Source organism: Homo sapiens, chromosome 5 (genome assembly GCF_000001405.40).
Source record: "Homo sapiens chromosome 5, GRCh38.p14 Primary Assembly".
Lineage (NCBI taxonomy): Eukaryota > Metazoa > Chordata > Mammalia > Primates > Hominidae > Homo > Homo sapiens.
Genome location: NC_000005.10, coordinates 15,884,824 through 15,897,874, shown reverse-complemented (window position 1 = coordinate 15,897,874; position 13,051 = coordinate 15,884,824). Strand labels below are relative to the sequence as shown.

General features: G+C 41.6%; 1 protein-coding gene and 1 long non-coding RNA gene across 12 annotated transcripts in view; one reads left to right on the top strand and one right to left on the bottom strand.

The window, feature by feature from the left end:
• Positions 1-13,051, bottom strand: part of FBXL7 (F-box and leucine rich repeat protein 7) — a 439,614-nt gene that overhangs the window by 41,919 nt on the left and 384,644 nt on the right. The window lies entirely within an intron of this gene.
• LOC107986343 (uncharacterized) overlaps positions 3,670-13,051 on the top strand; it is a 47,786-nt gene continuing 38,404 nt past the window's right edge. For 2 of the 7 annotated variants that reach the window (XR_007058705.1, XR_007058703.1), the window contains exons 1-2: positions 3,797-4,056; positions 8,440-12,358. This is a non-coding gene — a long non-coding RNA (uncharacterized LOC107986343). Of the gene's footprint in view, positions 3,709-3,796; positions 4,057-4,745; positions 12,359-13,051 lie in introns of those variants that run through there. The other 5 variants (XR_007058704.1, XR_001742396.2, XR_001742398.2 and 2 more) reach the window with 5 other exon arrangements.

Below are 13,051 nucleotides of genomic sequence, written 5' to 3'. Positions count from 1 at the left end.
CATTCCCATTGGATTAATTTTTTAAAAACACAGCTGCTATCCATCCACTGATCCCTTACGCAACATCTTGCATTGCCTGCTGAATTCCAAACAAAGTTCTTGCCTATCCACATAAGGCAGGCCTGGCTGGGGCTTCAACACAATTTTTCATCCTCTTCTCCTATACCTTTCTGACTTCTAGAAAAACTAGACTATTCCCTATTTCCGGGAGCATAGCCTAAACTCTCCCACCCTTCAGACACTACTCATGTTGTCCCCTCTTCCTTCTCATCCTTGGGAATTTATGTTTTTACTTTAAAATCTTTTCACATCTGACTCAATTGGTATCTTCTTCATAAAGTATTTCCTGGGATCTTCAACATCTGATGTACACCTCACTTAAACTATTACAGCATGTTCTATGTTAATTAAGATATTTGTTCCTCAGCCTACTACCAGACTGTAAACTCCATGATCATGCATGCCCTGATGATCCTGTTCAAAACTATTTTCCAACATCTACAGAAGTGCCTCACACTTAAGAGGAAAATACAATAAGTATTTGTTGAATAAATGAGTAAGACGAACAAAGGCGTTAGATTTAGTTCCTTAAAATCTTTCTTTCTATCTCTTGCAGCATCAAGGTGAGTGATTGCATAGAAGACTGGATAAATATTTGTTAAATTTAGAAGACCCTTCAAAATTTTGTTGAATTAGGAAAAACTATGTTTATGAAAAAAAAATATATACGTATATATAGAGAGAGATAGAGTCTCACTCCATCACCCAGGCTGGAGTGCAGTGGCACAATCTCAGTTCACTGCAACCTCTGCTTCCAGGTTCAAGCGATTCTTGTGCCTCACCCTCCAGAGCAGCTGGGATTACAGGCACATGCCACCACGCCTTGCTAATTTTTATATTTTTAGTAGAGATGGGGTTTTGCCATGTTGGCCAAACTGATCTCGAACTCCTGGCCTCAAGTGATCTGCCCACCTCAGCCTCCCAAAATGCCGGGATTACAGGCAAGGCCCACCATGCCAGGCCATCCTATTACGTATTGTAAAACACCTTTAAATAGTTACCTTTCTTCAGACTTAATGCCTTAAGTTGGGCAAATCTGGGTTTTTTTTTTTTCTTCTCATGTTCAGATTGAGTTATTAAGGCATACACAGAAATGGAAATAGTAGCCCTGGGATAGGACTGCTGGTTTTCTGATGCTTGTCAATAACAACAGATGCCTGAGTAACCCATCCCCAGATAATCTCCATTTCAAAGGGGCAGAGGAAGGAGGAACTGGCAGGAGTTATTCTCCTAGGCCTGTGATCTGGGCTTTCCAGCTGGAGAACTGGTGGCACATGCCACTGTTGGTCCGCCAGAGCCACAATATACAGATTGGCTTAAAGACCATTATCTTCACACCCGGTGAGATTCTCCCACACCCTAGCTGGAACTATGAGATAGGTCGTTTTAGAGGCTTTTTTCAACATTCTGATGGCTTATTCATTTGCATTAGGTTTCAGAAATGAGGAATAGATGACAGATCAACAATTTTAGTATCCATGCCTCTCTACCTAACCTCTGACATTTCCGACCTAAACATCTAAGGTCAAAAGTAGACGAGGTGGGTGGATCACTTGAGGTCAGGAGTTCGAGACCAGGCTGGCCAACATGGTGAAACCCCATCTCTACTAAAAATACAAAAAATTAGCCAGGCATGGTGGCATATGCCTGTAATCCCACATACTTGGGAGGCTGAGGCAGGAGAATTGCCTGAACCTGGGAGGCAGCGGTTGCAGTGAGCTGAGATCCTGCCATTGCACTCCAGCCTGGGCAACAGATTGAGACTCTGTCTCAAAAAAAAAAAAAAGTAGACTCAGTCATTCAGCTGACTCTGAGCTCATGTCTTAAATCCTAATTTTACAGCTGGCCTTGGGTTTAAAAGTATGAAAAAGGGGCCGGGCCGGTGGCTCACGCCTGTAATCCCAGCACTTTGGGAGGCTGAGGAAGGTGGATCATGAGGTCAGGAGATTGAGACCATCCTGGCTAACAGAGTGAAACCCCGTCTCTACTAAAAATACAAAAAAATTAGCCAGGCGTGGTGGCGGGCACCTGTAGTCCCAGCTACTAGGGAGGCTGAGGCAGGAGAATGGCGTGAACCCAGGAGGCAGAGTTTGCAGTGAGCCGAGTTTGCGCCACTGCACTCCAGAGCCTGGGCAACAGAGCGAGACTCCATCTCAAAAAAAAAAAAAAAAAAAAAAAAAAGTATGAAAAAGGGCCCTAAGCATCAAAAATGGGTGATCATTTGTAAGGCAACAGAGTTTAAATAATTGGAGATGTTCACGTTGTAATGTTTGCAAATGAAATATTCACTAAGTGCAATATATCTAGCTTATAGCACCTTCTTTACTTATGATATTTTAATCTCATATTCTTCTCTGGAAAACTTTAAAGGACTTTTAAGGCTTTCTATGAGAGTGCCAATTATGCCCTGTTCCATGTGCTAAGCATGATACTTGGTTTCCTTGCCTTCAAAATTAACTAGATTAAAAAAAGTTTAAATAGCTTTATAGAATGCCAATTTTAGAAATAATACATGCACAATGCTAAAAATTCAGGAAATAATATCAAAAAGAGGAAAAATGATTATCTATAATCCCCCTCACTCATCGGTAATCATTTTAACTTTTTGATATATATCTTTCCAAACATAGGTAGGTAATTGAGGTTTTTGCCACTACTTTTAACAGCAAAAACCACAATTACTTTTGTGCCAACCTAACAGATTAACGAGTAGAATAGATAGGACAAAGGTATTTTAGAATATTGACAGTTTTGAACTATTTTTGAAACACTTTCATTTGGTAATTTGTTTTATAGACATTAATGAGTCAATACCTGAAACATCACACAATGAAACCCAAATTCTTAAAACCATTAAACTGTTTGGAAGGCTTATTTTTTCTTCTGTGAAGCAACTTGCTATCACCTTTTAAAAAATTAGCATTCACTCTGTCCAATTCTAAGAAAAAAAAACCTTAAAAAAAGATTTAAATTTCTCTCTAGGCCTGATGGCACAGCTAGAATTGAGTTGGGTGTAGTTTTTGGGCCAACTCCAGATATTTTCTTCTATGAATTGACCTTTTTTTGAGGCTTAATAACAGTAAAACTCTACCTCATAAATATTGTGTCAAGATTTGACATATTCCATACATACCTACTAAAAATGTGGCAGAATATTCTCCTTAGAAGGAATCTTTTAGGTAACTCCCATAGACATCAGTAAAACCTCATCTAAACCCTAAACAGAAAACGCAATAGAAAATACAATTTCATATGTAAAGGTGATATGTCACTGCTATCAATCAGTAACTTCTCCATAGTTCTTATACCTGCATGATATCTATCACTGAAATTTACTGTTTGTGCTTCCATCAGGATTTGGTTAGATAAGTCTCATATTTCAATATGCCCTGAAATAAAAATGTTATCAGCTTTGATTTTTGTTATTAGAACATTATAAGCTAGCTGTGTGTTGCAATAACCAGCTACATATTCCAGAAGTCCATTTGACCCTTCTGTTACTGGGACTGATATTCTTTTTTGTTTGTTTGTTTGTTTTGTTTGTTTTGTTTTTGAGACAGAGTTTTACTCTTGTTGCCCAGGCTGGAGCGCAATGGTGCGATCTCGGCTCACCGCAATCTCTGCCTCCTGAGTTCAAGCGAGGAGCAAGTGAGTAGCTGGGACAACAGGTGTGCCACCATGCCTGGCTAATTTTGTACTTTTAGTAGAAATGGGGTTTCTCTGTTGGTCAGGCTGGTCTTGAACTCCCGACCGCCCGCCTTGGCCTCCCAAAGTGTTGGGATTACAGGCGTAAGCCACCGCGCCTGGCTGGGACTAATATTCTATGAAGGCTGCCAGCCTGGGGCTAAGCACCTAGCTTTTCCAAATGTTGACATGTTTTCTCTATAGCCCTACCTGATGGACTGGACTTCTGCCTGGATTGGAGTTTGATCATGCCTCCATATGGGTGTTTACCAGGCGTATGCATTGAACCTGAGTTTGTCTCTTCAATACAAGGTAAAACAGAGAGAAATGATTTAATTCATCCTATAGCATTATGTCTTCAAATATAAGTTCTAATATGAAATATTTGACCTAAATTATTTTGATCACAATTGGATAACTCCGTTTCAACCAGGTGACTAATTTTGGCTTGAAGTTGCATTTGAAACATTAAAAAGAATACCCAATGCCATTATTTTTTAATTGGACCTTGTAGACAAAGGCATATTCAAAATTAAAAAAAAAAGTACATTCAGATCATGCTTTTATGCAGTAAGTTAACTGAAATTCAATAGGTACTATGCTTACTATGGTCATTTCTTCCATGTATGCGATTATTAACATAAATTATTCAGGTGATACGTTCATTGGCCCCAGTGGCACTAATTTTCTGTGCATAAACTCAGAATTGATTTATAACATCCCTAAGTATTATGCTTATATCTGATTATTAAAATGAATACAAATTAACTCTGGCCATTTCTTGTTTCATAATTTCATAGCATCCTTTGAAAGAGGCATTGAAAGAGTTTGCCAATTGTTATAGAATAAACAGTATCTGTCCGTGTCTTACATCCCATATTAGTGGGGGCATGATGGTTAGTGGGAGAGACTGATTGGGGTCAGACTGATTTCCACCCTGTCCTGCCTCTCCCCAGCTGAGAGGCCTTGTACATATTTAACTCTCTAAGCCTTGATTTCTTTTTTTTTTTTTTTTGAGACAGAGTCTCACTCTGTCACCCAGGCTGGAGTGCAGTGGCGTGATCTCCGCTCACTGCAAGCTCTGCCTCCCAGGTTCGCGCCATTCTCCTGTCTCAGCCTCCCGAGTAGCTGGGACTACAGGTGCCCACCACCACGCCCAGCTAATTTTTGTATTTTTAGTAGAGACGGGGTTTCACCCTGTTAGCCAGGATGGTCTCGATCTCCTGACCTCGTGATCCGCCCCCCTCGGCCTCCCAAAGTGCTGGGATTACAGGCGTGAGCCACCGCGCCCGGCCTAAGCCTTGATCTCTTAATCTGTAAAATGAGGAAAATAGTTTCCACCTCACAGCATTGTTATAAAAATGAAACAGAAAACAAATGGGCCCAGGTGAAATACTTAATGAAGGGTCAGGCACACTGCATTCCCTTTCTCCTTCGCTTGAGCTGAGGAACTGTCTGAATTCCTGCCTTGCACATAGTAGTTGCTTAATCAATGTCTTTAAAATGAATGAGGATATGATATAATACGTTTTCAGATGTAATAAGTAAGCTGCGAACCCAAAGCACAGTGGAATCAATTTCATCAACCCTGCTCATAACCTCTGCTGCTACCACCTTATTTCAAACTACCAGTCTCCCATCTGACCTTCCGCTGTGACTTCTGAGCTCCTGCAGCCATTGCCGTTGTAGACCCCTGAGGATCTGTCTTCCACACAGCTGCATGTCCCGCCTCTGCTCAAAACTCTCCAGCAACATCTTCAACTCACCTCTTAGCATAAGAGCCACAGTCTTTGTAGAACATGCATGGTTCCACATCATCTGCCCCTACCGTGTGTCAACCACCTGGCTTTCTACATGCCTTCCTCTTGCTCACAGGGACCCCCTTGCTGTTCCTAGAATGTGCCATGCACACTTCCCTCAGGACCTACCCTCTGGTTGGAGTGTTGTCTTCAAGATATGGGAGGGCTCACTCCGTTTGTTCCCCTGTCCCCCAGGCTTTCTCTGTGCTCTGCGCTTTGTGCTGCAGGAGGCTGACCTCCATGAACTGCTTCTCCTGGCTCCCTAGTGCTGTGGCTCCCAGGAGCACTGGCAGGAGGCTGGTGAGCAGGAGGAGGCAGGGAGCACTGATCTCCCTTGCAACCTGGGGCTGTTCCCTCCTGCCTGGTGCTTTGGGCAGTGGCTGAGTTCCTTTACTTCTGGCCCCACTGCAGTCAAGCAGACTTTTCCTCTTGGCTACAGCTCTTGCTAAGTTCCAACACCGCCACTCTCTCCCTCTGCCCCTTCAGGACTGTGTGTGGTAACAGCTTCCTACTGTAGCTAGTCCGTGGGTACTGTCTATACCTGTGTAAATAGCACCTTTATTCAGTTCTCGTCAATTTCTCCTTTGAATGTGCCATCTGTTCCTGCTGGGATCTAAACTGGGCTCAGAGGTCACCTCCAGAGGGAAGCCTTCCAGAATAACCTCTTTAAAATAATAATCCTCTCACTCATTTATGATACTTTATCCTGGCGGTACTTACCACCATCTGACATATAATATACTCATTTATATTTGCTGATTGTGTCTCCCTCTACTAGACTGTAAGCTCAAAGGACATCATCTTTCTTTTGTTTCCTGATGTGTCTCCAGTTCCTATTACAGAGTCTAGTTTACATAAATATGTACTTTAATAAATGTTTGTTGAGTGGATGGATTCTAAAATGTAGAAAATTACATTGGGGATTTCATTTCTTTCTAACATTTTAAATGGTAAGGGCAGTGAACTAATAGACACAGAAACTATTCTGATCCATGCAGAGCAGAATTTAAGGAGAGGATGGGATATAAAATCATTGAAAACCTGACTGTCCCTAGGTTAGGCTTGTAGTAAAAGTAACTGGTACATCTCTGACTTGAGCAAGAACTTGAAGATATTTAAACATTCTACTCTCCTGACATATCTGAGTGCCTACAGTAGAATTAGCAAGTGATGAATTAAATGGTTTCACTGGAGGCCTTTTAAAAGTACTCCATCTCAGTATTTCTCACCCTGAGTATCTAAATGGTAATAGGTTATGGCACCAACAATACCACAAAAAAGATAAATTATGCAGAGAAAACACTAAGGATAATATGGCCATCATTAAGCTAGACTCTCTCTGAACAGATAATAGATTTTCAAGTTTTTTTTTCTAATTATCTAGATTATCTTTTTAAATATATCACTATTCAAGTAATTTTATTTTATCCTAAATATCACCACATTTATGATCAGAAATTAGTTAATAAACTCTTGATCTCCTCCTGAATTTGTTTATGGCGTTTTGAGTTTACATGTTAAAAGGTAGGGCTAATCTCAAGACTTCAATCACGTAGATCTTCATTTTCAGATGAGCCTTAGAACAGCGGTCCCCAGCCTTTTCGGCACCAGAGACTAGTTCCATGGAAGACCATTTTTTCACACATGCAGGGAGGGGCAGAGGATGGTTTCAGGATGAAACTTTTCCATCTCAGATCATCAGGAATTAGAGTCTCATAAAGGGCGTGCAACCTAGGTCCGTTGCATGCGCAGTTCACAATAGGGCTTGCACTCCTGTAAGAATCGAAAGCCAGCCGGGCACGGTGACTCACACCTGTAATCCCAGTACTTTGGGAGGCTGAGGTGGGTGGATCACCTGAGGTCGAGAGTTCAAGAGCAGCCTGACCAACATGGAGAAACCCCGTCTGTACTAAAAATACAAAATTAGCTGGGCGTCATGCCTGTAATCCCAGCTACTTGGGATGCTGAGGCAGGAGAATCGCTTGAACCCGGGAGGCGGAGGTTGCAGTGAGCAGATTGTGCTGCGATCCAGCCTGGGCAACAAGAGCAAAACTCTGTCTTAAAAAAAACAAAAAAACAAAAAGAATCAAATGCCCCTGCTGATCTGACAGGTGGTGGAGCTCAGGTGGTAATGCTCGCTCACCAGCTGCTCACCTCCTGCTGTGTGGCCCAGTTCCTAACTGGCCACAGACCGGTAGTGGTCTGTGGCCCAGGGGCTAGGGGACCTCTGCCTTACAGGATACCAAAGTTGAGCTCTGTTAATGTTCTGCTCTTCATTTGAAATGAGAGAATGAAGTCTGATAGGCCCAAGAACTTTTTCTTTCATTCTAAAGTCAGGACTATCAGAAATCTCCCTCCGGTTAGGAATGGTCCACCTCCTCCCATCTCACTTTTTAAGTCAGCCTGGGTTATAGCACCTGGTTTTTTTTGTTTGTGTATTGTTTGTATCTTACAAGTGTTAGTCCTGGTTTTTAGTTGGGAATAGCTGTTGAATGATCATATGTCTGTGGAAGAAAAGAATAAATGGACTCTGGAGACAGAAATGTTCAATGCACAGTGCCATATGCCTGCAGTCATTTACAAATGCACCTATTCTCACACTTGGCTGCATGTTGAAATCACCTGAGGGAGTTTCAGAACAACACTGATACCTGGATCCTATCCCTAGAGACCATGATTTAATTGATATGGGGTACATCACAAGCATTGGAGGTTTTCAAAGCTCTTGGGTATTCTAATATGGCAGAGAGTTGGTGAACTGCTGATTTAGGCCATCCAAACATCACTGGCATACATTTGATGCAGGTTTCACTGATTCTAGTCACAAGTAGCTTCTGCTGCTTTAACTCTAGAGACACTACAGTTCCTCTTGCATTCTCCCACTTTGGTTCAATAGGAAAATCTCTGCCGCTTAGTGATTTTCCAAGAAACATGAGCTTCTGCCTTTCAATGAGGAAGATACTCAGAAGTCATGTTCGAGCACTCCGGTAAGTCACACAGCAAGGAATCTTAATCCCAGGTAGGGATGTTTGGGGGTGTATCAGAAGAATGGGTAATCACTTCTGAGGAGAATGATCTCTCAGCCTGTGAATCTTTAACCACTGAAGCCCAGAGAGGAGTGTTTTCATTAACTTGTGGCCAGGCATTGGTAAGATCTGGCCACATACCAGTTTCCTTCCTAGTGGATTATACCATTCCTTGTCTCTGAGAGGTTGTGAATGTTCCTTCTTTCCCCCCGCCCCACTTTTTTCTGCTTGTTTGTCTGCTTCCTTGACTATTTATGATGTGGAGAGACCAAGGCCCAGATATTTCTACAGGGACACAGAAAAAGCAAACTCTTAGGGGAACCGCAGTACTGGCAGTGCCAAGGATAATACAGCTCTACTTAAGCTAGAAATCTCTCTGCACAGATAATAGATTTTTGAAGATTTTTTTTGGTTCTTCTAATTGTCTAGATTATCTCTTTAAATATATCACTATTCAAGTAATTTCAATTTATCCAAAATGTTTTCACCAAATTTATTATCAGGATTTAGTTAATAAACTCTTGATCGAAGGCAAAAGACCAATTTTGCCATTTTTTTGTAAAGTAGAGGGAAATATGCAAGAGTGGCAGAGTGGGCCGTGAAAGAGAAGTGCAGAAGGTTATTGGTCTTAGACCTCATTTCCTTGTTAGATTTTTTTCTAAACCTGACCAAATGGTCTACTGAAGTACTCACATGGTTTAAAAAATCACTTTACAAAAATTAAATCAAAGGGGAAAAAGCTCGGTGGCTTCTGGAAGGCATTTGTACTAGCATTTGAGGTGGTGTTTATAGCTCATACCTGTAATCCCAGCACTTTGGGAGGCTGAGGTCGGCAGATCACTTGAGGTCAGGAGTTCGAGACCAGCCTGGCCAACACGGTGAAATCCCATTTCTACTAAAAAATACAAAAATCAGCCAGGCGTGGTGGCACACATCTGTGATCCCAGCTACTCAGGAGGCTGAGGCGGGAGAATCGTTTGAACCCAGGAGGCAGAGGTTGCAGTGAGCCGAGATTGCGCCACTGCACTCCAGCCTAGGTGACAGAGCGAAACTCCATCTCAAAAATAAATAAATAAATAAATAAATAAATAAATAAATAAATAAATAAAGTGGTGTTTACAAAGGGATCATAACAATCAGTTCATCAGAATTTGGAGGGCAAAATTGATTCTTATTGACAATTTCCTGGATGATAGTGCAATATGAATTAGTTACTATAAAAGCACTTATCTCCTTTAATTTAATTTGCTGTCTCAGATTGTCCATCAGGGGATTTTTGAGGAAAAGTGTTCAAGGATATTCTGAACTTTTGGTTCTGTTATGATGTCAGACACAGGAGACCCAGTCAGGTGTCTGGACTCTGGAAGAGCTCTCTATGCTGAGAGAGAGAACATGGAAGCTACTGGCGGAGCAAAGAATCCAAGAAATTTATTGTTTTTTAACACTGGCTTTTCCTCCCCACTCTACTGGAAACAACACATATGTATTTAAAAGAGTTTCACATATACTAATGCACAGCCAAGCTTCTTGAGTGTACCAAAAGATACTGTCTAGTTTCCATAAAAGGGCTGTATTATGCCTAGATAATACCAAGATTGTGGAGTGACAACCCCCATGAGTAGCGGAGTTAATATTCCAATACTCTACGTGTTTACTGAGGTACTTGTTAGCTCCCTGTCTTTAGGGATACACCTTAACAAAGCTTAGAAGCGCAGAGGGCCAATATTTATACTTGTTAGACATGCCTTGATGGTTTGGAGCCATTTCCAACAACAGCTGTACAAATGGTTGATGTTATGGTGCTTTCTCAGACTTAAATCCCATTTGGCAATTCCTATGTATGTGCAAACACTGAAAATATTTTCATTTTTGACATGTAGGGGAATTCAATTTGGGATTTAAATGTTAACCCAAAAGGGATCATCCATTCTCCTGCTTGCCCTTCCACATATGTTCCTCCCTCGTTCTCCCTCTCAGTGACAGTGCTGACTGCCATGACTTCCCCTCAAGAAATTCCCAGAGCCTGCTCTTTTGTGCTGTCATAAACATAAGGAGTGAAACATTGGCTGGAAATGTAAACTTGGATCGAGTTTCCAAAACACAACAGAACAATTGGTGGTCTTGTCAAGTCCAGTCCTTAAATTGGACAAAACCATAGCCTTGACTATTCTGTTGTTTATAAGGTTCATCCCATATATAAACGATTTTTTTAAAATTATGGGAGATACACATTTATAAGTGCAGTGAATCTTTGTTTAGAAAAAGCAATTTGTCTGTCTCCTGAATTGGTAAGCTTTTTCTCTTTCCTCTTTCCAGCCCAAAGTAAAACAAAGCACTGTTTCACCTTGTAATTGCGGGTGAGCCACAATGAACTTGCTCAATGTAAAGAAATCTTCATGGCACTTTAAATCATTTTGGGGAGAATATAGTTGTTAGATAAGAGGTGTTGCCTTGTGAGCCACGATTCTTGGAAAATGTCTGAGACTTAGGCACACACATGTGCACATGCAAACACTTGGGCAAACACATATGCAGCTTCCAAAGTTTTGTCAGATTTTATTAGAAGAGGATTTTCTCCTTGGCTCCGTGTACACTGCTTGTACCCTGCTAGTTAAGGGAAGTGGAAGATCCTTGGTTTATAGGGTGAAAAGCCCAAGTGGCAGGATAACCATCCATAAACCAGCCTCAGGAAGGGGCCAAGTAGGGATAACTGAAATTAGCCACTAACTGATGATAATGGGGATTATCTGGGGGTAACTTTGGGGATGCACTAAGCAACATACATTGGGGTTGCTTTTTAAGGAAAAAACAGTGTACTTCTGAGAAAGGAAATGCTTTTTGGAGTCAGGACAAATTTAGGCCTCTCTAATCTAAAAAGTCCCTTTGCCTGATTTTACGGCCATAGTGAGAAAAGAGCAAGGTAAATATACAAGGCCACCCACAGGGACACAGAGCCTTTCCCCTGCCTGTGTTCTCACTGTAAAAATATGCATGGCCACTCACACACATGCATACACACAGACACACACACATGCATTCATGCACACACACAGGTATGCACATATACATTTGCATGCACACACACACACACACACCTCAAAATTATTTCTTGATACTGCTTTGTAGAAACAGAAACAGGAACACACCATATCCAGGCTACATTTGGTAGAGAACATTCCAGCTTTGTGCCTCAGTTGATTTCCTTCTCTCTTCCTCTTGCTCTCTTTTGGTAATTTATTCACATATATATCAAACAGGAGAATATCATTTTTAAAAATGTGACTAGGCTGGGCACAGTGGCTCATGCCTATAATCCCAGCACTTTGAGAGGCTGAGTCAGGCAGATCACTTGAGCTGAGGCGTTCAAGACCAGCCTGGGCTACACGGTGAAACCTCGTCTCTACAAAAAAAAAAATAAAATAAATTAAAAAATCCCTGGTTAGGTGGTACACACCTGTATTCCCAGCTACTCAGGAGGCTGAGGTAGGAGGATTCCTTAAACCTGGGAAATTGAGGCTGTGGTGAGCCGTGATCACACCACTGCCTGCCTGGATGGAAGAGTGAGACCTGTCTCAAAAAAATAAAAAAAAATGTGACTAACAATAATATGGATATTTAACTTGCCCAGTGCGACTTATACATATGGCCACAGATACAGAACCAGGCATTAGAGAATTATCTGTATGTTTTGAACATTTTACAGGAAAATGTCCTTGGAGTTTCAACATTTCTTTGGTCTTCCACATTTCATTTTGTCCTGATTAAAGAGGAAGCCAGTTGCTGTTTGTGGTAGGTGCTCCCTGACGTGGGTGCCAGTGGAATCTCATCTTCTGGAATTTATATACTTGTGTAATCACATCCCCTGGAGTGTGTGGATTGGATGCAGTGGTGTGTCTCTAATAAATGAAATTTGGAAAAAGTGGTAAGATGTCACTTCCAAGGTTAGATTATGAAAGATGACTACTTCCTTCTTGGTTTCATCCTCTCTCTCGCCCTCTCACTTGCTCACTCTGATGAAGCAAGATGCCGTGCTGGAACCTGCCCTGTGGAGAGGCATACATGGTGAAAAACCAGGGAAGGCCTCTGAGCAACAGCTCTTGAGAAACTAAAGCCCTAAACCCATCAACTTGCAAAGAACTGCATCCTGCCACCAACTGCGTGAGTGAGGTCAGGTGGATCTTTCCCTGGTCCAGCCTTGAGATGACTGCAGTCCCAGACAACACCTTGACTGCTGCCTTGTGATGCAGCTGGCGCCAAGCAGTGCCAATTCCTGGCCCTCAAAAACCATGAGATAATAGTGCTGTTGTTGTAAGTCACCCAAGTTTGGGGTAATTTGTTATCTAGCAGTAGATAGCCAATACATCAAACTAGAAACATTCTCCATCATTGATTGGAAGACTTTGGGTTTTTAAAAAGGGTAAACACACATATACACAGCTTATTATATTTCCTTCCACATTTATTTTGGAGGGGAAATGTTTT